At 49.5% G+C, this 26,614-nt stretch overlaps 2 protein-coding genes across 38 annotated transcripts in view, besides 1 other annotated feature; one reads left to right on the top strand and one right to left on the bottom strand.

Moving 5' to 3' along the window:
• Positions 1 to 4,833, top strand: part of TNIP1 (TNFAIP3 interacting protein 1) — a 57,743-nt gene extending 52,910 nt beyond the window's left edge. For 9 of the 36 annotated variants that reach the window (NM_001252390.2, NM_001437739.1, NM_001437736.1 and 6 more), the window contains 3 exons: positions 977 to 1,168; positions 2,393 to 2,489; positions 4,029 to 4,831. In NM_001252390.2, coding sequence (NP_001239319.1) covers positions 977 to 1,168; positions 2,393 to 2,489; positions 4,029 to 4,063 — 324 coding nt within the window. In that variant the 3' untranslated portion in view covers positions 4,064 to 4,831. Of the gene's footprint in view, positions 1 to 976; positions 1,169 to 2,375; positions 2,490 to 3,462; positions 3,521 to 4,028 lie in introns of all 36 variants that reach the window. The other 27 variants (NM_001437737.1, NM_001252392.2, NM_001364486.2 and 24 more) reach the window with 10 other exon arrangements.
• GPX3 (glutathione peroxidase 3) lies at positions 5,788 to 14,185 on the bottom strand. Of its 2 annotated transcripts, NM_001329790.2 has the most exons (6): positions 14,035 to 14,185; positions 13,922 to 13,948; positions 9,283 to 9,436; positions 7,759 to 7,876; positions 7,245 to 7,344; positions 5,788 to 6,867 (listed from the first exon to the last, which is right to left on the bottom strand). In NM_001329790.2, the coding sequence occupies exons 1-6, from the start codon at positions 14,119 to 14,121 to the stop codon at positions 6,646 to 6,648; spliced, it is 708 nt and encodes a 235-aa protein (NP_001316719.1). In that variant the 5' UTR covers positions 14,122 to 14,185; the 3' UTR covers positions 5,788 to 6,645. The 2 variants fall into 2 exon arrangements, with proteins under 2 accessions (NP_001316719.1, NP_002075.2); NM_002084.5 differs by lacking the exon at positions 13,922 to 13,948.
• Positions 11,541 to 12,740: an enhancer, noted in NCBI's record as "P300/CBP strongly-dependent group 1 enhancer chr5:150401597-150402796 (GRCh37/hg19 assembly coordinates)". NCBI's record gives its function as "activates an origin of replication core promoter dependent on BRD2, BRD4, P300/CBP, MED14 and CDK7 cofactors, with strong dependence on P300/CBP, by STARR-seq in HCT116 cells {active_cell/tissue: HCT116}" and the evidence as "EXISTENCE:reporter gene assay evidence [ECO:0000049][PMID:35650434]".
• Positions 14,186 to 26,614: the final 12,429 nt, after the last annotated feature.

Below are 26,614 nucleotides of genomic sequence, written 5' to 3'. Positions count from 1 at the left end.
CCCATGTGACTAGCCTTCTTTGGCCGTGTATGAGCCTTCCGTGCCCATGTATCCAACTTTCTATGCCCATGTTCCAGCCCTCCGTGCCCATGTACCAGCCTTTTGTGCCCATGCCCAGCCTTTTGTGCCCATGCCCAGCCTTCCATGCCCATGTACCAGCCTTCCGTGTCCATGTACCAGCCTTCCATGCCCATGTGCTCAGCCTTCCGTTTCCATGTATCAGCCTTCCGTGCCCATGTGCCCAGCCTTCTGTGTCCATTTACCCAGCCTTCCGTGCCCATGTATGAGCCTTCTGTGCCCATGTGCCCAGCCTTCCATGCCCATGTGCCCAGCCTTCCGTGCCCATGTACCCAGCCTTCCGTGCCCATGTACCAGCCTTCTGTGCCCATGTTCTAGCCTTCCGTGCCCATGTACCAGCCTTCCGTGTCTATGTACCAGCCTTCACTGCCCATGTACCTAGCCTTCTGTGCCCATGTACCAGCCTTCACTGCCCATGTAGCAGCCTTCTGTGCCCATGTACTAGCTTTCCGTGCCCATGTACCAGCCTTCCGTGTCCATGTACCAGCCTTCCATGCCCATGTACCAGCTTTCCATGCCCATGTACTAGCCTTCTGTGCCCATGTACCAGCCTTCCGTGCCCATGTACCAGCCTTCCGTGCCCATGTACTAGCCTTCCATGCCCATGTACCAGCCTTCCGTGCCCATGTACCAGCCTTCTGTGCCCATGTCACAACCTTCCATGCATGTGTACCCAGCCTTCCATGCCCATGCAGCCTTCCATGCTCATATATCCAGCCTTCTATGCCCATGTATCCAGATTTCTGTACCCATGTAGCAGCCTTTCATGACCACATACCAGCCTTTGGTACCCAGCCTGCTAGCCTTCAGAGAGCTAACATTCTATTTAGAGGGTGATGAGATGGGTGTCCTTTGCAGCCTGTTGCAGGCCAAAGCCAGACGTCAGCCTTTCTTGCAGGCCTCAGGAGAGCGTTACCATGTGGAGCCCCACCCAGAACATCTCTGCGGGGCCTACCCCTACGCCTACCCGCCCATGCCAGCCATGGTGCCACACCATGGCTTCGAGGACTGGTCCCAGATCCGCTACCCCCCTCCCCCCATGGCCATGGAGCACCCGCCCCCACTCCCCAACTCGCGCCTCTTCCATCTGGTGAGTCTGTGTCCCTCCCTTGCTCCAGGGCACACACAGAGGCTGCCCCAGACACCTTCCAGAGAGGAAGGTTAAGTGAGGGGTTCAGAAACTGCATCCTTCTGAACTAAACAGCACCGTGGTGGCAGGTGGGTGTCCAGGGCCTGGCTCTGGGCTGCTACCCAGGGGCAGGGATCTGGCCACAGTCCCGCAGGGCTGCCCCACAGCTGTTCAGGGTCACTGGTCTAGGACGGAGAAGGCTGAGTAAGAGTGCAGGGTGGGAAGGAGGACTCCCTCCAGGCCCCAGGCCATGGGTATCAGAGTTTGGGTTTGCTTTTTCTTATAACTTCCACGTGTAACTAGGTTCCAGAGCCTCACCATGTTTCTCTCTCTTTCCTTTCCTTTCCTCTCCCCTCCCCTCCCCTCCGCTCCTCTCCCCTCCCCTCCTCTTCTTCTCTCCTCTCTTTTTTTATTTTCTTTTCCTTTTTTTTTTTTTTTTTTGAGATGGAATTTCACTCTTTTTTGCCCATGCTGGAGTGCAGTGATACGATCTCGGCTCATTGCAACCTCTGCCTCCCAGGTTCAAGCTATTCTCCTGCCTTAGCCTCCCAAGTAGCTGGGATTACAGGCATGCACCACCACGCCCGGTAATTTTTTGTATTTTTGGTAGAGACGGGGTTTCTCCATATTGGCCAGGCTGGTCTTGAACTCCTGACCTCAGGTGATCCACCCGCCTTGGCCTCCCAAAGTGCTAGGATTACAGGCGTGAGCCACTGCGCCTGGCCTCTTTTCCCTTCTTATCATTCTTCTTCCAAAGATCTGCTGTCACTTGTCCCATTTTCCCCAGTCCTCTGCCACAGCCCCACCTTAGGCATCCCAGCTCTCCCCTGGACCATTACAGAAACCTCCTGGCTGGCCTCTTTTTCAGCTTCTCCCATATGACCCTTCTTGGTACACATCTTTAAACACCAGAGTATATAGTATGGCGCTTAAGAGATTGGCTCTGGATTTACAAAGACCTGGATTCAAATCCAAGCTTAGCCATTCTCCTTGCTAGATGACCTTCAGCAAGTTATCCCCTCTGAGCCTCAGATTCCTTACCTGTGAAATGGGAGTGCCAGCCTGGGTTGTTATAAAGATTCAATTATACTTGACTAATACAGATTTAGTATTGTCCTGGCACAGTAGGTGCTATTGTAATTTTTGGGTGTGATTATTGATTATTAAGCACCAGTTTTGTCGCAGCCGGAATACACCTGGCGTCTACCCTGTGGAGGGGTTCGAAATCCAAATCAGAGCTCCCAAGTGATGGACCCTCCCACAGCCAGGCCTACAGAACCAGGTGAGCCCCTAATACTGAGTCTTGGTCCTCCCTGGGGGAGATAATATCTTATCTGCCAGCATTGCCTGAGTTTGGGGGTGATGTCGTTAGTTTCTGCTCTTGGTGGAGGAGAGGCCCAGCTTTCCAAAACAGTGTTGAATGGAGAGTAATGGCAACCACAGAGTGAGGGGGGCTGAAACCATTCATTCTAGTGCATTATCTAATGCCAGGCATTGTGCTAGGTGCTATGGATGCCTAGAGAACAGAAGCAGATACAGTCCTTGCCCTTATACAGCGTAATGTCTAATGAGGGAGGCAGAAATGAATAAACAAACACCACACAAACAGGCTGCACTCAAGTGCCCTAAAGGAAGAAGAGCCGGTTTCTGTGGGAGCAGATAGCAGAGGAAGCCGACCTAGACCGGGGGGGCAGCATTTGAGTTGAGACTCTCAGAATGAGTGACACTAGCTAGGTGGAGAGGTAGGGGTGGAGGATGCTTTTGCAGAGAACATGACAAATGCAGAGGCCGTGGTGGGAGGAGGGGAAGTAGGGGAGCTGATTTGAGGATCGGAGGGAAGACCAGCGTGGCTGGAGCCAAGAACAAGGTAGGGAAAGAGAGGGGCAACGCAGGGTTCAGGACGTAGCCGGGTCCTGACCGTGCAGGCCTGCGGAGCATGGTGGGAGGCCTGGGTCTTATCCTCAGCATAATGTGTAGTCACTGGACATTTTTAAAGCAGAGTGGCATGACCATATTTCTGTTTGAAAAGCTCCCCTGACCATGGTGTCCACCATGAAAGGCTGAAGAGCCTGGAGCTGTGTCCACTCGTGAAAAGATTGGGACCTTAGCGACTGCCATTGCTCCCTGTAGAGCTCTCATGGGGCACAAGGCACCACCTCGCCTGTGGGACTTCTGGGAACAGAATTATAACTAGTGGGTGGGAATGACAGGGAGGCCAAGTCCATCGCAACATGAAGAGGAACTTTCTTTCTAAGGGACACAGTTGTGCAGAAATGGAGCCAGCTCTGGGAGGTGGCGAGTGTCCCTTTGCAGGTGTGTGAGTAGAGGCCATGGGACGGACACCTTGGAGGGGTTGCAGTTTGGAGGATTTGGTGATTGGAAGAAGGGATTGGGCTGCTCAGTCATTTTCTGTTTTTCCCTGAAGAACCCTACAAGTTCAGTGGAGCCCCTTGGAGGCTGCTTTGATGAGTGGTAGAGATTGGTATAATGGGAGGGGCTCCCTCCCCAGAACTGCTCCAGGATTTGAGATTGGGTTCAAATCCTAGCCCCACTATTTCCTGGACCTGGAACTATGAGCAAGTCATTTAAAACCTCTTAGTGTCCCAGTTCCCTCTTTTACAATGGGATAATAACCTGCCTTCTTCATAGGGCTGGGTGAAGATTACATGACCAGCGTACTTAAGGTACTTAGCCCTGGCACTTGGTAGCACCCAGTAACCCTAGCTGTTATTTTCACTGTTCCTGCACTGCATTCCATAAGAGACTTTGAAACTCGCTCTACCACATAATCATGAAGTCCTCAAAATTTTTGTTTATTTAGAGTCTCCAAAAAATGACCGTGAGGGGCCTCAGTGAGACCAGATTGTGTCATTTGGCTCCACCTTCATCTTGCAGAGCCAGCTGATCTCAGATTGCCAAGAAACTAGAAGCCACTTGCACGGTGTGGCCAGAGCCTCAGCTGGATGAGAGGCTGAGATGGGTGGCCAGCTTGTACACCAGTCCCTGAACTGAGCTGTTTACAGGACTGGGGAGGCTCCACCCAGAAGGCTTTCATTTGTACTCTGCTGGGAGTGACTGGGAAAAACTCCTTCCCTGCTGCTGAGTGGAGAGAGGCCTCATCCGGCTTTGACCCACCATCCGTTGCAGAAGCCTCCAGGAGCAGCAATCCTAAGAGTGGGAGGCAGCCAAGACCCCCTTCCTTCAAAACCTCCCGGAAGTGGTTTCAGGCCCTCTAGTTGCCATGACCAATTTGTGTGTGTGTTTAATTTTTGCTTCAAGCTCTGTAGCAGGACCTGCCCCACGCACACCCCTACCCCTCTGTGAGGAGCTGTGGGAAGTGTGGGTTTGTCTCCAGAACAGAAGAGAATGATGGATATTCTGGCTCTGGGGCCCTCTCCACCACCACTCACAGTAGCCTTGCTGAAGCCATCACAGATGGGAGAAGGCCATGCCAGCCACGTCCGCCGAGGGGCGCCAGCCTGAAGCTGCCAGGCCCTGAGGTTCAGACCCTGGACCCCATAGCTGGAGGCCTGTGGTGCCAGAAGCCCAGATTAGGGTGGCTGTCCATCCCTGGATAGCTATTTGCACGAATCATGGACATAAATCCAAGTTGAAGAAGATCAACATTCTGACTCATGTTCATTTATGCGCTAATGTTCCCCTGTCAACCCCCTGCTTTCCTGGGTCCCTCCTTCTGTTCCCCTTTTCTTCCTTTCCCTGAGATGGTCACCATTACTCTTGAGTAATGGTGACGTATCAGGGCCTCCCTGAGGGTAGGGCAACCGGGGCAGTGGAAGGAGCCTAGGCCAGGACTCAGGGGACTTGGGTTTAAATTCCAGTCCTGCCCCTCACTCATCAGGAGACCTGGGGCAAGGCGTGGCCCTTCTGTGAGCCTCAGTTTCCTCATCCGTCAAACAGAACACCTCATCTTAACCTCAGCTGACTTGGAGAACTGTGGGAGGGAATGAGAGTAGATCAGAACTGGTTTTATAAACTCCAAATGCTGAGTGAGAGAAGCAGAGTGGGCCAAGGTAGGAGCCAAAAAGCAGGGACTCAAAGCATTGTCTAATTTCTCTCTTTTTTTTTTTTTTTTTTTAAGAGACAGTCTGACTGTGTTGCCCAGGCTGGAGTGCAGTGGCTCTTCACAGACTCAGTCACGGCACACTATAGCCTCAAACTCCCGGGCTCAAGGGAGCCTCCCACATCAGTCTCCCAAGTAGCTGAAGGAGTGCGCCACTGCAGCTAACTATCAGGTTGTTGAAAAAGTAATTGCAATTTTTGCCCCTTTTTTGTGGCAGGGGGGCCTCCCTCATGAAGATGCCACCCCTAATAGGGCTACATGGCCCTTGCAGTCTGCCTTGGCTGATCTCAGGGAGAATTGTGGGGTGGGGAGGTAGCCTTGGATTTTGCCATATGGCGAAAACCGCAATTACCTTTGCACCCACTGTAAAAAGTTTTTGTTGTCATATTTGTTCTTTTCTCATCCTCCCCCCTTTACCCTGCCCCACCTTCTCCTCCTCACTTCCCACCCAGGCGGGGGCGGCCACCATTGAAGAAGCACCACACACAGTAGGCTCAGCTGCTGCAGAAAGGCTTTTACTGGGCAGACGGGGTGAGTCTCAAGCCAGTGGACCAGTGAGGGGTGAGGGCACGTCCTCCGAAGGAGCAGGGGTGGCATCCCTGCCCAGGGGCCTTAGCCTGAATGCACTAAGGGCTGGCCCCTCAGACAGGCTCAGGGGAGGTCCGCCCACAAGGGCTTTGGGCCCCTCCCTCATGAAGACGCCACCCCTGCCATGGGGTCCGTGGCCCTTGCTGTCACATCTGCCTTGGTTGATCTCAGGGAGGTTGATCTCTCTCAGGGAGAACTGTGGGGTGGGGATGTAGCCTTGGGAGGGCCCTTCAGGAAGTAGGAGTGGGGGGTTGGGGAGTGTGGTAGACCCAGAAACTTCTGGGGACGTCAGTCATAGTTACTAATATTTGGAGGCAGTGGGAGATGCTGGCCCCAAGGTTGAGGTATCAGTTAGAGCAGAACAATTGGACCTAGAGCTGGTTTTTCCTTTGGGTTTAGGTGTAAGTGAACTATTATCATTGGAGTGGAGAACTGGAGAGAAAGGGTTGTCACTGTCCAGCACTACACAGCTGCAGGCACACAGATGGTACACATTCCCAGAAAGACACATAGGTAGACACGTGGCTGTACACCCATGCACACACACACAATCACGCATACCTGTAGGCATGTGTGTAAACACCCACATGCACCCACACCCACATGCCTGGCAGTACACAGAACTGTATGCATCCATTTGTGCCAGGCTGGGGCCTTGAGTGATAGGAAAGGGGTCTGTGATGGGTAGATAGTGTGGTTGGAGACACGGATTTCTTCCTGAACAAAGTCCCTCCCCTACATGGTGGACATGGGATGAGACGGCCTTCAGTTACTTCCTCTTGACCCCCAGGGCTGCCTGCCGCCTCATGTAGGACAGGATGTCCATCTTGACGTTGCTGACCGTGGTCCGGTGGTGCCAGCGCATGATGGGTATACCATCTGGCCCCACCAGGAACTTCTCAAAGTTCCAGCGGATGTCGTGAACCTTCATGGGTTCCCAGAAGAGGCGGTCAGATGTACCCAGGAGCTCCGAGGTGGGAGGACAGGAGTTCTAGAGCAGGGATAAGAGGAGTGTCAACCTTGCTTGAGGCCCCCTGACCCTCTTCCTTCCCAGGCCTTCCTGGGGAATAGCCTGGCCCTGAGAAAAGAGCCCCAGTTTGGGAGTTAGAAGACTGCCAGCGCCAGCTGTGGCTCTAGAAGATTGTGAGACCCTTAGTATGTTCACTCTGGGTCCTTCTGGGCCTTTCTGTAAAATGGGCCAATGAGACCCTAGTCAGGGTCTGCAGAGCCCTCTAGTTGGAACAATAGTCAGGTGCCAAGAAATTCCCCAAGAGCCCAGGAGCAGGGGAGGTGGCATGGGCCCTGACGCTGTGGGCTGGAGCCAGGAGGGGCTGCAGCCCCAGCCAGCACAGGTGGCAGCTCACTTACCTTTAGGAAAGTGTAGAATTTCTGCTCTTTCTCTCCATTGACATCCCCTTTCTCAAAGAGCTGGAAATTAGGGACAAAGCCTCCACCTGGTCGGACATACCTGTTGAGAAATGTTCTTAGGTGGGTCCCAAGGAGGTGGGCACAGGGCTCAGAAATGAGAGGAAGGGACAGAACAGGGGAGAGGGTGTTGGGAGTCTGGATTTATTCTGCAGTGGGCAGCAGGAGCCAGTGAATGTGCAGTGGGCATAGGCATAATGTGAGTCCACGGTCTTCCTTTCTAGCCTGGTCCCTTTTCAGTGTCCCTCAACCTTGGTGCTCCCTGCGGATGCACATCACAACCAGTTGTCCCTGTCCTTCTCCCTCTCTTGTCCCTTCCCTTCCCTCATTCCACTGGGGATCCTAGAAGAGGAGAGTAGTTCTTGGTGGCCGATAAATGTCCACCATGATTTGGGGTTGATAACAAGATGTGGGCCATGTGAGAGGAGCTTTCTCAGGATGCTGAGTGAGTACTCACTTGAGGGTAGGAAGGATCTCTGAGTTCTCTCCTGGTTCCTGTTTTCCAAATTGGTTGCAGGGAAAGCCCAGAATGACCAGACCGAATGGTGCAAGCTCTTCCTGTAGTGCATTCAGTTCTGGGCCAAAGAGAAAGAGCAGATGTGGGAGTATCCTGGCGAGGAGCCCTGTCTCATCCACACCACTCCCCCGGCTCACCCGCTGTGCCGCTGGAACTACTGAGGCCCGAGAAAGGGAGGGACTTGCGCAGGATCACCAGTGAGTTCACAGCAATGCTGGGACTCAGGTCCTATCCTCTTGACTCTAATCTGGATGGATTGGAGGTTTGGAGGACAAGAATAATACCCTTCCTCAAGTCAGCTGTCAGTCACCTGCCCATTGCCAAGGCCCTCCACCTGGGCCAGCTAGAGCACTCATTCAGAACCCTCAGGATTGAGTTTTCTGGAGCAAGAACTATCCATCCCTGGATACAAGGCAGAGAACTTCTTTGGGGTGAGGTTACAACCCTCCCATAATCTTTGGCAAATCAGGAACACAGATGAGGCCCTGGCCCAGCTCCCCAGTTTCCTCAGTGTCCCCTGGTCTCTTTTGCAGCAGCACCCAGCCCATCTCTTGCCCAAACGCACTCTGCTCTGTTCCAAGGCTAGAGAGAAGCATCCCAGAAAAAGCACTCACAGCCACTGGGCCACGTGACCGCCGTCCTTTCACTTCCGGGAATTCGCCTGTGATTGCCAGGCAGAGCATGGAGGGTCAAATTGCCCTTGCCTCCCTGACCCCCTGCCAGTAGACTGCTCAGCCCCAAAGCGTTTTCCCCTGGGTGCTGTCGCTTGCCTTTGGTTGCCTGTTCCCCTAGCCTCTGTATTCTACCCCAGCTAGGGAGAAAGGAGTAAGCATATCAGGAGATCATGAAACCTGCGCCAAATGCCCCATTCCACCGCTAATAGCTTTGTGACCCTGTTTAAGTTGTATCTTCGCTCTGAGTCTTGGTTTCCCATGTGTAGATTGAGAAGAGGGGAAGGCTAAACTAGATCATCTTCAAAGTTTATTTTAGAATGGGCATTAGAAGTGTAGCCTGCTCCTTCATCCCGCTACACCACGCATACACTCTGGGGCCTCGAGGCAATTGCCTGCTTTCCAGAGAGCTGCCAAGAGAAGCACCAAAGCAGATGGGGCTGAGGGAAAATAAGATATTCTCAGCAAGATGGAGCTTCAGTTACCATCTCATGCTCCAGCCAAAGGGAGCTCTAAGCACAAACCTAATCTCTATCCCTCTGCCTTTAGGGTTGTTGAGGTGCCCAGAGATGAAGAAGGATAACTAGGAATCTCCTAGAACATGTCCAAAGGCAATCAGACCTCAGGCTTATATAATCATCTTCACAAAACCACGGAACACAGTGGAGCTGAGAAAAGGGGCTTGGACTCTCGTGATTGCCATCACCCTTTCCCCCATGCACCAGAAAAGCTCCTGTGATTGAAATATGCCATACAGCCCCAAATAAAGCAGGGAGGAAGGGTGGGCTCTTACCAATGTACTGGCCCGTCAGGCCTCAGTAGCTGGCCACGTTGACAAAGAGGACGTATTTGCCAGCATACTGCTTGAAGGGGATGTACTCCTCCCCATCAATGGTGAGGGCTCCGTACTCGTAAATGGTGCCACTTATGCCACCATGGCAGTCCATCTGGAACACAGGCCATAAAAGGAGCAGTTAGAGCTGGAAAGGAACTTGGACATCTCCGTTTTCAAAAGAATGAAAGATCCCAACAGAGAGAGTGACTTTCTCAAAGTAATCACCGAGAATTGGAACTGGACTAGCACTGACGTCTCCTAATTCCTTGTTTAAGATAATGATTATGAAAGCACTTAATAAGTGCTTTTCGGGTACTTAATATTAAGTGCTTAAAAAGCACTTATTAATATTAAGCACCTAATAAGCACTTATTAATATTAAGCACTTAATAAGTGAGTGCTATGGAACCCTGGAGAATGACTTATTTTGCTAATTACTTCCACATCACATGTCAATTTCAGAACATTTACTGGGCTCTCAGGGAGACTGCCCTAAAGCTGATGACTGGGTTCCTAGACGGGCTGATGGAGACTGGTTGGGTGGCTGTTGGAATAATCCAGGCAATTGAGGATGAGAACCTGAACTAGGCCAGTGTGAAGGAAAAACTGAACAGAAAGGAGGAAGAGGCCGTATGGACATGGTGATTCAGAGGCTCCCAATCTGCAGGACAGGAAAGATGAAGCTGTTGTTACCAAATAGGGAAGCAGGACTGAGAGCCAGGCATGGGGGAAAGGGCTGTGGTGAGGTAGGGAAAAGCAACAGTACCTGCATGTGTTAATGTTCCGGGTCTGAGCAGGCTGGTGATGACCCTTATGCCTTCCTCCCTCCCCAGCTGCTGCTCACAGTCAGCCTCCAGGACAAGGAGGGACAGAGTGCAGTGGACTGTGGGCTGGGAGACCTGGGCTCCATGTCCCTTTGCCATTAACTCCCTGTGTGGTCTTGGACTGGCCCTTTCTTTTCTTCGGACCTGAGTTTCCTCATTTATAAAATGAGAACCTTGAACTGAACCAACTCTCCAACCAGGTCAACCATGATGGCTTGATAGGATCATGATCAGTGGGAGAGAGGGGATTGGGGTCACTGCTGGCTAGTAGGATGTGGCCTATGAGCCTACTCTGCCCGTGACACAGACAACAAAATTCTGAGACTATTCTTGAAAGGATGTCATTGCATCATTGACACAATTTGGCAGGTGGGCTGGTCGTGATGGGAAAGGAGAAACCTTGAAACCATTGTATAAGGTGGTCTTTAAGGTCCTTTGTGGCCCTGATATCCTTTGAGAGGTGGGCAGACAATAAACAAATGGAATGCAAAGTAGCATTATAGACCAGGAGAGGGCAGAGACAGGTGGCTGGAGTTAGAGAAGCAAATTCACTCCCTCTCTTCCCCTCAATTCTGGAGAACTTGCTGTTGAGGCAAGGTACCTGGGCCTGACCAGGTGAAGGGAGTGATATATGCTGGCAGGGCGTGGCCCCAGTAGAGTGCAGAAGAGCTGCCTCTGTCATGAAGCAGGTCTGCTGAGCTGGGCGAGGCTGCGCTTCCTCCGCCAGGCCATTCCCTGGCAGCTGCAAGCTCTCTTCTTGGCTCTGGTGCAAACTTCCTGCTTTACATGAGTCTAATATTCCACATCCGGTGACTTTTGGTGGGTGCTGGAGGCAGGCCCAAGACCTAAGATCAACATTCCTACTGCTCCTGGACCTCCTCGTTCCCAGCCAGGGCCAGTTCCGCCTTAAAATGCAGACAAACTGGGGCACAACAAATACACCCTAGACCGCCACAAAGATCTAGTGGCCAGAAAGCCAGGCATGTCTATAGCCTCTCCACTTTTTTAACTCTGCCATGATCCAAAAATGAACTCTGAGACATGGAGGAAAAAAAGATTACAGGTTGTCCTAATAATGGGAACTTGTAAACAGAAGGACCAGCTTCTGGGCACAGTTTCAGCTTGGGGGTGTGGCAAGGAGAACCCTATTTCATTAGGTTCTATTTTTTGCTGGCTGTGTGGCCCTGAGCAAGTCACTTACACTGTCTGGGCATATGTCCAGGGAGATAAGCATGCTGCTGCCCAAAATGGTTGTGGGAATCTGCTGGCAGAGCAAAACAGGCCTGGAGTCTCTTGGAACGAAATCTCATGTCAAGGGATAGTGGGGGTCAGAAGGTGGCCCATGGGTGGAGAGCCACGGCTGTGCTCACCACTGATCACTGCAACTCAGTCCTCTATGAGCCCCCTTCCCTTCTCTGGGCACGTGGAATCCCAGAGCACCGCATCTGAAACAGTGGCCAGAGGAGATAAGGGGAGAGGCCATGAGGGTGCCTGAATCCTCCCACAGCCGGGCAAGAGAAGAGGGTTCCAATGGCTTGAGAGTTGGATGATGGGACTCAGCCAGGACTCTGGCTGGCTGGGGCTGCTGGTCTTGTGTCTTTCTCCTCTCCCGTCTTATTACTCCTATCAATATGATGCTGTGAGAAGTGGTCTGGGAGTCAGGAGACCTGAGTGCTGGGCTTTGCTGTGTCTCTGATGCCATGTGACCCCCTTTGCTGGGGCTCCAGCTCCTCCATTGTAAGATGGAGTCAGGTTCAGGGCTGTCTTAAGGGCCCTTTAACTCTGTCAGCCTGTGGTTCCATGATTCTCTCTGCCAGGTTTAGTCACCTAGAAACCAGCAGTTACTAGGATCCCGTGCACGTCAGCAGTTGTCACTCTTTCCGGCTTCTGCAGTCCTTTTGTAGAGACAAGGAGCGTGGGCAGCCTGAAGTTGGACTGGGGAGGTGACGCAGCAAGAAGAGGAGGACCTGGTCTCTTCCCTAGCATCTCCCTTTCAATTGGTAGGAGGAAAACACCTCTCTGGGGCTGAGTCACCTTTCGTCCATTCCATTCTCCACATGCCCCATAACCCTATCTCTTTACCCTGGGGTTGGGGGTAAGGTGAGTGGTTGGGTCCTAACCCAGAGCTAAGACATCTGAACTCTAAGAACTTGGGAGCAGAGATGGGCATGCCCAGGCTTTCATTAGCCAGCAAGTCCTGACTGGTTGTATGTGATATGATCACACCTCACCCTAAAACTTTTCTAGACCATCCCCATCCTATTCTCTCTGAGTCCATTTATCCTTCCCCAGAGTGCTGCAGAGAAGACACAGCTATGATGAGTTATTCATGGAGTCCACGTTCTCCCCACTAGCCTTCTTGAGGCAGGGCCCAATTGTATCTTCTTTGACCTTTCCAAAACTGAAGGTTGGGACTGACTCCACGGTGCTGGCCTGTCTATGGCCCACCCCAAACCTCAATGTTGAAAATCGATCCCATTCCTGACCTGGAAAATGCCTTCTGAGTTGGGGATTATGAACAGGGATGGATAAAAAGGAGGGGACTTGGACGAAGTGGCTTCACATCCATTTAGACTGACTCCAAGGAGAGGCTGATTAATCGGATTTAGGCTGAGGACCGAAAAGGGGTGAGTAACATGGAAGGAACCCTGTGCTTCCAATGGGCTTCCTGAGAAGTGGACAGAATTTTGGAAACGGAATCCTAGACTCATAAGAACTTAATTAAAGTGAAGACCCAGAGGATTTTAGAAACAAAAGCTCAGAGCTTGCAAAAATGTGAGTTATGCATGTTGGGAAGTTGGAGACAGAAATCGCTCGCTTTGAGTCTATCCCTACACCTGGCTTCTGCCTCCTTCCCCACCCACTCCCACTCCCTGGGTAGAGGAGAGGTCTACAGAGCCCACCCCAGTACATACTGTCAAAGGAGATAAGCATGCTGGGTCATCCCACTCCTGGCCTCAGTATCCCCACTCCAGGTGTGGGCCACACACCTGCTGGAAATAGACTGAGGCTCTAGAGAATTCTACCTCTTCTTCTGAATTAGCAGTCCCCAGCTTTCTCCAACTACCAGGTTTCCTCAGGCTAATGAGGACAGTGGGTCCTGGGTAGTGAGGCTGCCCCAGGGGAGGAAATTTCAGAGAACAGCTTGTGGATTTTTCAGCTTCTCCAAGCATCCCCTCTGAGGCCCTCAGCTTCATTGTGCCCCATGCACTCCCACCCCCAAACTCTCCCCTGCAGATGGAGAAACGGGGGTCCAGGAGCAGGTAAGGACTCAGGGTCCTGAGTGTTCTGCACTGTCACTCCAGAGCTCTTTCTAGCACAGATCTCTGCCTCTTCTACCAATGCCCTGAATCCAAGTGGCCATTTCTACCTGCCTGTATCATTCTTGGGGTAGAAGAGCCCCCCACAGCAGTTCTTCAGGACCAGGACCACCCAGCTGCCTCTCTCCTTTCTCCTTGTCTCTCTCCCTGGGAACTTGCACAGCCCACCCAGACGCTGGGCATTTTTTTCTGTGACGCCCTCCCTCTTAGGCCCTACTGAAGGGGAGCAGCTCAGGCACGGAGGTGACATAGATGTAGCAAGGCGACCCTCGAGGTGGCAGTGGGGAGAAAGTGCGAGCTCGGGGAGAGAGACCTTCCTCCCTTAGTCATTCTGCCCGCCTGAAGCACCAGGTCTCGGCTCTCCAACAGATGGAACTACGAGACGACGACGGTCGGGGGCGGGGTCCCGGCGGCGGAGGGGGCGGCAAAAGGGGTTCAGGAGGTCTCTCGCACCTGGGGATTGCCCATCTGGCGGGGAGCCTGGGAAAAGGGGTGCATTGCACTGAGCGCTGGACACCGAGGGGCTAGGTTTTTTCTCCCGGCCCCCGGCCCGGAGGCTCACTCACCTTCGACTTCTCTTGTCCCCGGCTCTGCGAGACGAAGCCGGCCAGGAGCAGGGAAAGCAGGCAGGACGCCTGCAGCAGCCGGGCCATGGCGGGGTGGGGGCACACTCAGGGTCGCCTGAGCCGCTGCCTGATCCCTGGCCACCGTCCGTCTGAGGTGTCCGGCGCTCCCAGCCACCTTTCAAGCCCTCGGGTGTGACCAATCCGCGGCCAAGCCGAGACCCTTGCAGCCAATCGCTAGGCGGCTGGGATTTCAGGGGCGGGCGCGACTTGCCCTCAGCTCCCCACCTCCCCGTCCCGGGGCGACAGTGACATAAGCAAATCTGGGCAGAGAGGTGGAAGTCAGGTCCCTGTGGACGTGGGAGGCGGTCCCTTCCTCTTTTGGCTCCAAAGTGCGAAAGGAGGCAGACACAGCGGTCTCCATTACAGCCAGGGCAAGGGGGCTAATAGCTCCCTAGAACTGATGGAAGTCTCCATTCTGGGAAGCATTTCTTATTCCTATCGAGGTTTTAAAAACACCTGGCGATGGTCCTCTGGAAATTGAGGGTTTAAAATTTCAGCAAGAGCTGAAGTTAAACTTCCAGAAACATTTACTATATATAGGTTTAGTGCTTAAGAAACAAAGAGTGGGTGTCCTGGGATTTTGAAAACCCCATTCTGGGTAGGGCATTAGGACTGTAGGGACAGAGAAGGTGGGGTGCCTTTCCTCCCCATCATAAGGATCACAGCTGACATGCCTGTAGAAAAAGGTTAGCAAGAGAAAAGCATAACGATTTATTTAATTAAAGTTTTCTGTGACATGAGAGTCTTCAGAAATGAAGACCCAAAGACTCAAGGAAAACTCTATTTTTAGGCTTAGATTCTATGAAGACCATGGAAATGCGCAGAAATGTGAGTGGGGAAAAAGGGAATGGTCTAATAGTAATAAACTGAGTGGGAAACCCAGCAAGGCTTGTCTGTTCGTATTCTTCTTGGCCTATCTGTGGCCAAACCACCTGGCTTAGAAGCAGAAAATAAATTTGCTCCCTGTGTAGTCTTTAACATGTTGCAGTTACTCTCTGGGCCTCAGTTTCCTCAGCTATGTAATGATGGGATTGATTAGTGATCTCCAGTGCCCTTCTGGCTCTGGCTAGATGACTTGTTTCTAAAGTAAGTGACAGACGGAGACCAGGAGTCCTTTGAGAATAGGGCCCATAATCACCACCTGGCACAGGGCCTAGCACACAAGAGATGTAAAGTATTTGCTGACTTAATCATTCATTACATTAAAAAAACAAAATCTCCATGGAACACTTAGGATCAGACCAGGCAGTTCTAGGGCTGGGCTGTCTAGGTATGATCCCGTTCACAGATGGGGAATGTGATGGAATCAGTCTCAAATCTCTCTGACCACCAGAGTCAACTGGGAAGCCTTTAATACAGATTCCTGGACCCCACTTTGGAATCACTGCATTAGAATCTCTAGGGGCAGAAGCTGAAAATCTGTCTTCAGACATGTTCTAAGGTTATTGTGAGGCAGTTGGCCTGGCTGTAGCCTTGGTAGTGTGAGTCCTAGGATTAAGTGCCTTCTGGAACTTTCTTCTGACCAAGAAATGCCTTGAGAAACCATACCTTTACTATGATTAAAGGTATTAACATCCCCCTGGGAATTTGGAAGATGTCTCTCAAGTTTTGCATTCTCTACGAAGTCTTCCCACCTCAAACCACAGCCTGTTGAAGTGGAAGGAACCACAGAGGCCAGGAAGTCTTTAGCTGAGTTAAAGCCTGGGAGCATATGAACAATGGCTGACACACAGTAAGTGCTCAATACGTTTTATTCAACCACCTCATTTCCCTGAAGCCTAGAGATGAGGAGCAATTTATCCAAGTTCCCATAACCAACTGATGGCAGGGAGGGAACCAGAATCCAGGTCTCTAGACTCAGTCTCAGGCCCTCTCCATGTTGTTCTGTTGTCTTTTAAGGTTCGTATTTACCCTAAAATATAAACATCTGTGTGCACATCAGTTTGTCAGAAATCCATTGTTCATTAGTATCAGTAGGCATCTAGTGACCCTCAAAATAGGCACCTAGCAACATGTTAACACCATGAGAGATGCTAAAGAGTTGTCTAAAAGCCAAAGTCCCTGCTCTCAAAGGTGTTTCCAGCAGATACCAGCAGGGTGAGGGAAGGGAAGGCACCTAGGGTCACACAAGTGCAGGCTGGCACCTGGCAGCGGGCATCTCTCTACATTTTGCACCCTCTATGTCTCACTTGTCTCACCTTAATCCCAGCCCTGGTGGTCTATTTCTTTAGGGGAGACAAGAAGGAGCCAGAGACCTGAGATGCTACCCCTGGATTGCTACGGAAAGTAATAAAATTACTTTCCTTCTCTGATCTCAGTTGTCCACCTATTTAACAAGGATCTTTGACAGTCTCTCAGTGGTGGTGTCTGTGGCTTTTCATTCCTAAGAGTATAAGGAAAGCCTGAGCCATACAAAACAGGAGTACAAAACTGATGACATGGACAGTGGGGTGGGGAGGCTTGGGGAGCCTGCCCTGGCATTAAGAAGGGCTTTCATGCTGCAGTGAGCTTTCAAAGGAGGTCTAACCATTGGCACAAAGAGCATGACAGTGAAAACAATGAGAATGAAAACAATACTTCCCAATCTTTTCATCAGCAGCCTTTTAAATACATTTGGTTGACTTGTTTTCAAGGACCCTATGTTTTGAAATATATCGTTCTCCACCAGGCTGCTTCTGATTGCCCTCAGGTTAAAGTCTAAATTCCTTAGCACTTCAGAAAGTGCCCTCAAAATCCATCTGCTTCTTCCTCTTTTGCCACACTCTCCATATTCTCTCTGCCTCCGCTACACTGGACATTTTTCCGTTCTTGCAGTCTGCCATTCTCCCTCACTTCCAGGTTTCATCTCTGCTGTTCCCTGTGCTTGGAACAGAGGTTGTCTCCCTTTAACTGGTACTATCCTACTCATTTTTCATATCTCCACTAATGTCACGTCTTAAGACAGGGGTTTCGTGATGGTTCCCTTGTTTTCCTGTAGTTCCTAGAGTATTTGACACTTTGTACATCGACCCTTTGTTGTACTTTATCATCATTTCTTGTTTGTCTATTTTCTGCACTAAATTATAAGATCCAAAAAGGCACCAGCACCAGCACAGAGCTTAATACATAGTAGTTGCTTGATACATATCTATCAAATAAATTAATGTCAAGGAAAACAATATTTGGCATATAGAATAAGGAGAGCTTCAAGTTAGCAAGTTGTAACCATGTAGAGCCCGCAAGACTGGTCTGATTTCATCTTCTAGGAAGATTCAAGACGTGCGGGTTATGATGAGTAGGCTTGTCAGAGGAGAGTAGATGATTTGCATTGGCCAAAATGGGAAGGGAGGGATGGAAGGAGAAGCTGTAGAAGAATCATAAGCTAGTTTTGCTTCCAGTCTGAGAACACGTCTTCCGCATTCCAGACAAGTGAGCACTCGGAACCTCTTCATCCTATTTTTTAGAGACCTCTATAGGGAGCTCACTACTTACCTACTTGGTAGGTGAACAGAGACCGAAGATGACTTAAAAAGAGGTTTTACAAAAAGTGCTGATGCACTGTGTCTTCAAGGAAGATAGAACACAAATTAATAAACTCAAAGGATTGTAAAAAGTTAAAACAACGAAAGCCAGCCTTATTATTGGTTAGTAAACATTTCAGGTTCTGAACTCAAAGATGGGATCAGCCACTCTAACTGATGAGCCTAGGTGGAAGCAGAAGTGAGGCCCAGCCTGCGTCACTTCAGTGCCAACTTCAAACAGTAGCCCTTGTTTTGCAATCGAGAGAAATTGCAGAACCGAGCTGGGGCCCTGGAGCTGCCAATTTCCTAAATAATTGGCAAATTTGATCTCAGGGCCAGCCAGAAGACAGGGAGTTCATCAAGAGGAGAGGTGGGTGGCTGTAGTTTTTGCTTGTGAAACTAGTGCCTTCCAAACTCTGGGCTGCAGTTTTCTCATTTATGGAACGAGGTGTTAGACAAGTTGATCTCCATGGGCCAAGCTTTAGCATAAAGAGAGTAGCAGCCAGCATTCACTCAATATCCTATCTATACCAGGTGCTGCCTTAGATTAATTAATCTCTGCAACCTCTTGAGGTAGCCAACATTATTATCCCCATTTTGTAAATGAAGAAACTAATACATAGAGAGGTTAAGCAACTTTGCTTAAGGTTATGCAGTTGGTAAGTCACAGAACCGGGATTCTGACCCACACATACTATTCTGCTGTGAGCAGATCTCTGTAAACCTACCCCACCCCCGCGCCAGCCAGTCAGAGGAGGCTGAGAAGCTGAAGAAAGAAGCTGACATACCCAGTTTCTCAGAAAGAAACATTTATTAGGGACTTAGAAACAGAAGCCACAGAAGTCTTAGGTGGCTGTGAAGTGAGATAGTGGATCCCCAAGCTATTACCCCTCCTCAGCCCAGGGCTTATATAGCATAGGGAAGGGGCGATTTCCCTATTGAAGGGATGTGTAGGCCAACTGAAGTGTGAGAATATTAAGTTTGTTTTCACCTAAGGGGAATATTTATGTTAAGGACATGCTCTTACACAAGGAAGAGTAGATAAACTGAAAACCTTAGCGGCTTTCCTGGAACTGGAGTTAATCAGAAATCAACATGGTTGAATCAGCATCCTAGACAGAGTGTCTTTAGCCTCCGCATATACTGTCTCCAGAGCCCTTGCCATTAACCTCTAAGCCAATATAGCAGGCAGGCCATGGGCGTGTGTGGCTGTTGCACGCTTGGAGTAGGGCTAGTACAAACTGATCTGTGCTGTGAGTATAAAACACACAGTGTTTTCTGAAGACTTAGTGTGATAAAAGAATATAAAATATCTTAATTTAATAAAATTGCATATGGAAATATTTTAAATATATTTTTAATATAGTGGGTTAGCTGAGCATAATGGCTCACGCCTGTAATCCCAGCGCTTTGGGAGGCTGAGGTAAGAGGATGGCTTGAGCCCAGGAGTTTGAGACCAGCCTGGGCAACATAGTGAGACCACATCTCTACAAAAATTTTCAAAATTAGCTGGGCAAATCACTGGAGCCCAGGAGATTGAGGCTGCAGTGAGTGGTGATTGTACCACTGCACTCCAGCCTGGGTGACAGAGTGAGACTCTGTCTCGAAAATAAAAATAAAAGAATAATAATATATTGGGTTGAAGAAAACATGTGCTTAAAATTAGTTTTGCCTGTTTCTTTTTGGTTTTTAAAATATAGCCACTAGAAAATGTAAAATTACATGTGACTCACATTATATCTCTGTTGGATAGCACTGGTTTCAGCTGTATACTCTTAAGGGACTGGCACAAGATTATGATTGACTCTGTGAAATCTAGGCTTAACTCCTGTTGGGGGTCCCCAGATCACCTCTAGGTTCAGTGATTTGCTAGGAGGACTCACAGAACTCAGCATATAAGTACACTGACACTATGATTTATTACAGCACAAGGTTACAAAATCAGCAAAGGGAAAAGGTGCATGGGACAAAGTCTGGAAGAAAACAGCCACGAGATTCCCAGAATCATCCCCCAGCTGAATTAAGCACACAGGATGTGCTTCATTCCTTTGTCAATGAACTGTAACAGCATGTGTAAAATGTTGTTTACCAGGGAAGTTCACTGGAGACTCAATGCCAGGGTTTTTGTTAGGGGCTGGTCACATAGGCATCCTTGGCTAAGCACATACCAGAATTCTAAACTCCCAGAAGAAAATTAGGCAGTCAACAGAAACTGCATTGTTTGTCCAGTTTAGGCATAATGAGCTACTCTTATTAGTTTGGGGAATGGTGGAAATCCTTCTGAAATAGAAGTTCCCAAGAGCTGACCACAGGCCAAGTGTAGCGGTCTAAGGATCATGGTCTCGGGCCTGTACTACTAACAATTTGCTACACATTTCTCAATTAAGCCTCAACAGGACCTGGCCTGGCAAATACTAGGTTTGTTGGGCTTACCTGAAATGGAGTTGTCTTAATCCGTTTGGGCTGCTATAATAAAATTCTATAAACTGGGTGGCATGTAAATAACAGATTTATTTCTTACAGTTCTCAGGCTGGGAAGTCCAAGATCAAGGATTTGGGATCAGGTGAGGACCTGCTTCCTCATACATGGCTGTCTTCTCACTGTACCCTCACATGGTAGATGGGGTGAGGGGCCTTTCTTGGGCCTTTTTTATAAGGGCATTTATTCCATTCATGAGTGCTCCATCCACCTTTATGACCTAATCACCTCCCAAGTTCCCACCTCCTAATAGCATCACTTGGGGGTTAAGATGTCAATATAGCCAGGCGCAGTGTGGCTCACGCCTGTATTCCCAGCACTTTAGTAGGCCGAGGCAGGCGGATCATGAGGTCAGGAGTTCCAGACCAGCCTGACCAACATGGTGAAACCCCATCTCTACTAAAAATACAAAAATTAGCCAGGCATGGTGGTGTGCGCCTGTAGTCCCAGCTACTCAGGAGGCTGAGGCAGGAGAACTGCTTGAACCAGGGAGTTGGAGGTCGCAGTGAGCTGAGATCGTGCCACTGCACTCCAGCCTGGAAGACAGAGTGAGACTCTTAAAAAAAAAAAGTCAATATCGGAATATGCGGGAGGGGGAACACTCAGACCATAGCAGGAGTTAATGACTCCCTCTGCCTGCAAAGCCCACTTAGAGGGAGAGTTATAAAAAGAAGAATCCCTAGAGACTAGCTCATTCCACCCTCTTATGGGAGAGGCTAAGGCTTCAAGAGACTGAATGATTGGTCCAGGGTCCCATAGCAAATACAAGCACCTATGAGAATCACATTTATCTATGCTAGATATAGTTCCAAGCTTTCAGCCAAAATGTCCCTTCCCTCCTCTTGGATCTATATGCTTCTGGAACATAAAGCACCTACCCTTTGCTCTATTTCTTAGTGGTAAGGTGCCCTACCTATGTCTCTGCTAGCCCCTCTCCACCTACTCTCCATACTTTCTTTCTTTTTTTTTTTTTTGCGACGAAGTCTCGCACTGTCTCCCAGGCTGGAATGCAATGGCATGATCTCAGCTCACCGCAACCTCCGCATCCCAGGTTCAAGCGATTCTCCTGCCTCAGCCCTTTGAGTAGCTGGGATTATAGGCACCACCACCATGCCCAGCTAATTTTTTGTATTTTTAGTAGAGACGGGGTTTCACCATGTTGGCCAGGCTGGTCTCGAACTCCTGACTTCGTGATTCGCCTGCCTCGGCCTCCCAAAGTGCTGGGATTACAAGGGTGAGCCACTGCGCCCGGCCACTCTCCATACTTTCTAGGTTATTGTTCAGCTGGGAGACTATACTGCTGTAGTAGCAATAACAATCTTCATAAACAGTCACTAAGCAGTAAGCAACCCACATCCTACTTCCCATGGGCTACCTACCAATGCACAAACCATTGAGGACTGGCGGGACTAATGAGTTCTAGAGTAGAACTACCAGAGGGGCTGCCTCTCTTCGCCCAGCCTGACCACAGCTAACAAATGGCCAGGTCATGTTCACATCATTCTTAGCCCTTTCCCAACTCAAAAGGTTCATGTCAAGGGGACTTGTGGGCTATACTTCAGAAAGTTCTGACTCCGGAGTTCTGACCCTGTCTCAGTATGTGCTATATAGACTAGTTCCTTCTCTCGAAGCTTTGGATTGTCTCCAACTGTGAAATAAGGAAATTAAAAGTCTAGGGTTTTTTCTGTCCCAGTCAATCTGCGGGTGGACAGTTTCTCATGAGTTGACCCCAGGCAGGGAGTCCTTGAGGACGAATGGGGTGGTACTCTGCACGGTCTGCCCAGGGACAATTGGGTTAGAGGGGGAAGGTGGATGATGGGCAAATCATGTGTCTACTTTTTTTGTGGCTATGGCTACTGTTTACCTCAAATGGTTATTCTGAGTTTGAAATGAGCTAGAACACTTAGTTCAGAGTCTGCAGATTACCACCCCTACCCCATCCCCTGCAAGAGGGAGGGGTTGGATCTGACGTCTCTGGTCCCTAACTTTCTTTGGACATGCTTTGCCACCACCTGGCTGGGTAACTTCAGCTGAAGTAGGTTCACCTCTCTGAGGCATGACCTTCCCCAGCTGTTGAATGGGGGTCAATAATTTCTGCCCAGTCTGCCTGGTAAGCCTTGTAGGAGGCCTGATACAGTGTAGAGCTGAAAGCCACTAGAATGTGGACTCCAGAAAGGACTGAGGAATTGTTATATTCTTTTCCTTCCAATTTATCAATTTATTCTTTGTCTCCAAAGCCATGTCTTGTAGATGCCTTTGTCTCATGTTACTGAGCTTTTTTTTTTTTTTTTTTTTTTGAGACAGAGTTTTGCTCTTGTCGCCCAGGCTGGAGTGCAGTGGTGCTATCTCAGCTCACTGCAACCTCCGCCTCCTGGGTTCAAGCGTTTCTCCTGCCTCAGCCTCCCGAGTAGCTGGAATTACAGGCACCTGCCACCACACCCAGCTAATTTTTTGTATTTTTAATAGAGACGGGCTTTCACCATGTTAGCCAGGCTGGTCTTGAACTCCTGACCTCAGGTGATCTGCCCACCTTGGCCTCCCAAAGTGCTGGGATTACAGGCGTGAGCCACTGCGCCCAGCCCATTACTGAGCTCTTAAATATACTAAACTTAGTGTCAGTTAATTCAACAGGTGTTCCTTAAGCACCTACTCTGTGCTTTGCATTGCAGCAACTGCTGAGGATTCAGGATTCAGAGTGAATAAGACAGGACTCCTGCCCTTGAGGCACTTACAGTCTGGTGGGGGAAGGACAGCCAATTAACACGGCTGCACAGGTGATGGATGCTGTCATCAGGGAAGGTGGCGCAGACGGATTCCTAGCCCAGATCAGTGGCAGCAGGGCCAGCTTCCAGTGGGAGTGGCGAGTAAGCTGGGAAAGAGCAGGAGGGGTTAGTTGGGTGAGAAAGAGGGAAAAAGAGGAAGAGGTAGGGACAAAGAGAAAGAGTGATTGGGGCTGAGAGAACCACTGGATCAAAGGCTGGTTGGCGTCTTCCAGCCTTGATACTCCATGTCCTGTGTGGCTGGAATGGAAAGTTCAAGGCAAAAAGTGACAGGAGATGAGGCTGGAGAAGCAAACAAGGGCAGGTGGAGATGAGCTTTTCCAACCTTGGACTTTGTCTTGAGGACAATAGACAGAAGAAGCCCCCTACCCCATCACTTTGTTTCATTATTCTTTTATTGCTTTTTGTGATTTTAGATGATCTCATTCATTTTTAAAATCTACCTATTTATGGCCTGTCCCATTTTCCTCCCAATTAGAATGTAAGCAACATGAGGTCAGAGGCCACATCTGTCTTATTTTCTCTGCTGTAACCTCAGCCCCTAGGAGAATACCAGGCACGTAGAGAGTACTCAATAAATAGTTGAATAATGAAGAATGAATGAATGAATGAGGAAAAGGAAGGACAGAAAAAGATTCTCAAGTGTCCCTTAAGCCTTGTCCTTTGTCTTCATTAGGAACAAGCCGCTCCCTCCCCAGCCCTGATAGGGGAGGGAAATGGCTTAGAAAATTTTGTCTCTTCCCTTTAGGAGGTGAAGTGCAGGTGAGGGTGGGAGATGGGCTGGGAAGAAGAGTCTGGAGAGCTGGCCCTGCAGCTGAATGCCTCACTGAGTGCTGGATATCAAGCCCCTTTTTAAAGGGGTCTGTGGTCCATGGGAAATAGCCTGGCCCTCACACTGGACCCCCAAATACTGTAAGGCACTTTGGGCAGAATTTGTTTTTGCTCGACTTCTCAGTCTTTGGTGTATTGCTCTCATAGGCATTATCATACCAGAAATGTCCTTCAAGCTGATCTAGTTCCTTGCTCCTCAGAGAGTGATCCTTAGCTCTGCAGCACTGGCATGGCCTGGGAGCTCGTCAGACATTCAGAATCTCAGGCTTTTTCCCAGACCTACTGAGAATCAGAATCTACATTCAAACAAGATCATCAGGTGACTCAGAACCTCATTCAAGTTTGAGAAGCATTAATCTAGTTCAACCTTTCATATACAGCTGGGGAAACTGAGGCCCAGAGAGGAGAAGCAATCAGCCTAGTGAATAAATAACGCAGATGATGCTGGAACACAGGGTCCCCTCTTCTCTTTCCAGAGCTTATTTTTCTCAGCTCCTTAAATCAAAGATGAAACAAGGTTTGTTCTGACTGAGCTCCAGACTGACCAGAGTTTAAAGTTGGAAATGCCTCTGCAGCTACCAGAACTCTGGCTTTGTGGCTGCATTATTGTCTGGACTCCACAGACATTCCCGCTGCTGCCTGCCCTACTCACTAATTCTGATCTTTGCCTGCCTGATCTGATAGGGCATCTGGGTTCTAGTTGGCTTTGCTGTCTACTAATTAGCTATTGATTTGGGTAAGCAATTCTTTTTAGGTCTTGGTTTCCCCATCTGCAATATGAGAATAATAATAATCCTACCTCATAGGATTATTGTGAGGATTACATGAGAAAATTCTTTAAACCCAACTAGTGGTAGTAACTAACAGGATGTTGCAGGCTTTGTATGTGTCAGGGACTGTGCCAAAGGCTGCAAATGCATTATATTTGATTCCCACCACATCCATTTTACAGATGAGGATACAAAGTCGTAGAAAGGCTAAGTGGGGCTGGGCGTGGTGGCTCACGCCTGTAATCCCAGCACTTTGGAAGGCCAAGGCAGGCGGATCACCTGATGTCAGGAGTTCGAGACCAGCCTGGCCAACATGGTGAAACCCCATCTCTACTAAAAATACAAAAATTAGTCGGGTGTGGTGGCGTGCGCCTGTAATCCCAGCTACTCAGGAGGCTGAGGCAGGAAAATCACTTGAACCTAGGAGGTGGAGGTTGCAGTGAGCCGAGATCGTGCCATTGCACTCTAGCCTGGGCAACAAGAGCGAAACTCTGTCTTAAAAAAAAAAAAGAAAAGAAAGGCTAAGTGACGGTCTACCTCACACGCTTGCTTGTGACCGCTTTGCCATGTTGCCCATTTGCAGAGCATTTTAGAGAGGATACAACCTCCCTCCACTTCCCTTTCCTAACCTGGTCCCCAGGATAGGTCTATGGGGTAGGCACTATTGCTTCATGCTTCACATGAAAATTTGAGGATCAGAGAGAGGATTTGCCCGAGGTCGCAGAGCTTGTACATGGCAGAGCTGGGTAATGAAATGGGCTTTCTGATGCCCCATCAGTAACTCTCCACCATAGTACCTTACATGCAATAACTACACATGATATAGTTGGAAACATAATCCACATGGATGTAAGACGTTATTTTTAACCATTTCCCCCTCTCGTTCCTCCTTCTTTAACAAGATATCTCCTATTCTGAAGCCCCTTTGAAGCTGTTGCTACATGGAGGCATTCATTCCTTTGTCCAATCTGTTTCTCTTCAAATACCCCCTCTCACCACCGTCCCCCTCCTTTGATGGTGGTGTGGGAAGAGTAGCATTGAGCTGGGAATTAGAATATCTGGGTCTTTGTCTCTCAGCCTTTAACCCCTCACTGGGCTATTGTCCAGTGTGGACTAGATAATCTGTAACATCTTCTGATTTAAGCCCATCTGTGCTCCCGCTGATACTAACTGACACCTTGCATGGGCAGGGCTGGAGACTCTCCAGGGCAGAGAGTATCTGTCATGCCTGCCAGGTCCGCTGTACCCTCCTAATGCTGCGGTTCTCCAAGCAGATTTATAGTCTCTCTCATGTTTAATCCTCATTCTTAGAACCACACCTCTGGCCTTCCTCTGGCCCTGGTTCAGCAAGACCCCTTGCATAGATTGCTAAAGCCGGCCTCACTCTGAAGAAATACAATTTTCAACTTGACATTAGGTGGTTATGGAACCATGACTCCTACGGAAGTCTGTGATTTCAAAGCCCTGTGCAGTAGGAACTGCCATGATATCTATTTTACACTTGTAGAAACTGAGGTTTACAGAGCCGAAGTGACTTGTCCAAGGGTTGCTGTGAGCCATGAAGCTAAAAACTGTAATGCAGGTTTTCTGACTGATGTTTCAGTGCTCTTCCTTATGTCCCTCCATTTTTTTTTTTCATTCATTTTCCATGTTTATTTATTGAGCACTGACTCTAGACAGGCCTTGGGTGGGGCACTAAGCATGTGGTAGTGAATACAACAGATGTGCTTCCTGCCATCATGGCGAGGAAGACCGTATTAAACCTTATGCTTCTTACACTATATTAAGTTGACAAATTCACATCAACTATAAACTTCGTATTTTTGGAGGGGAAAAGTTTTTTTCACCTTACCTGGTTTCTTGCTTCTCCTACAACTTTCTGTTTGTTCATGCTCCTCCCATTCAAGTCAGGGCCCTGGCTAAAGTCTGGGGAGGTCAGGCCCAGCAGCCAGAAGCGTCACCCCAGGCTCTAAGCCCTCCTCCCCTGCCTGTTCCGAAAGCAGCCACTGCTTCTCCCATTGACAGTGGGGACAGATAACACAGAGGCAGGGCCCCTGGAAGAAAGATTTCCTACACAGGGTCTGGTCTCTCATCATGGCTTGTGGGTCAGGGTGGAAAGGGCTGGAAAGGTGACTGGGACCCAGGCTGATTCATTAGTGT

This window comes from Homo sapiens, chromosome 5 (assembly GCF_000001405.40).
Source record: "Homo sapiens chromosome 5, GRCh38.p14 Primary Assembly".
Taxonomy (NCBI): Eukaryota; Metazoa; Chordata; class Mammalia; order Primates; family Hominidae; genus Homo; species Homo sapiens.
The sequence above is the reverse complement of the archived record's forward strand: the minus strand, read 5'-3'. Positions and strand labels throughout refer to the sequence as shown.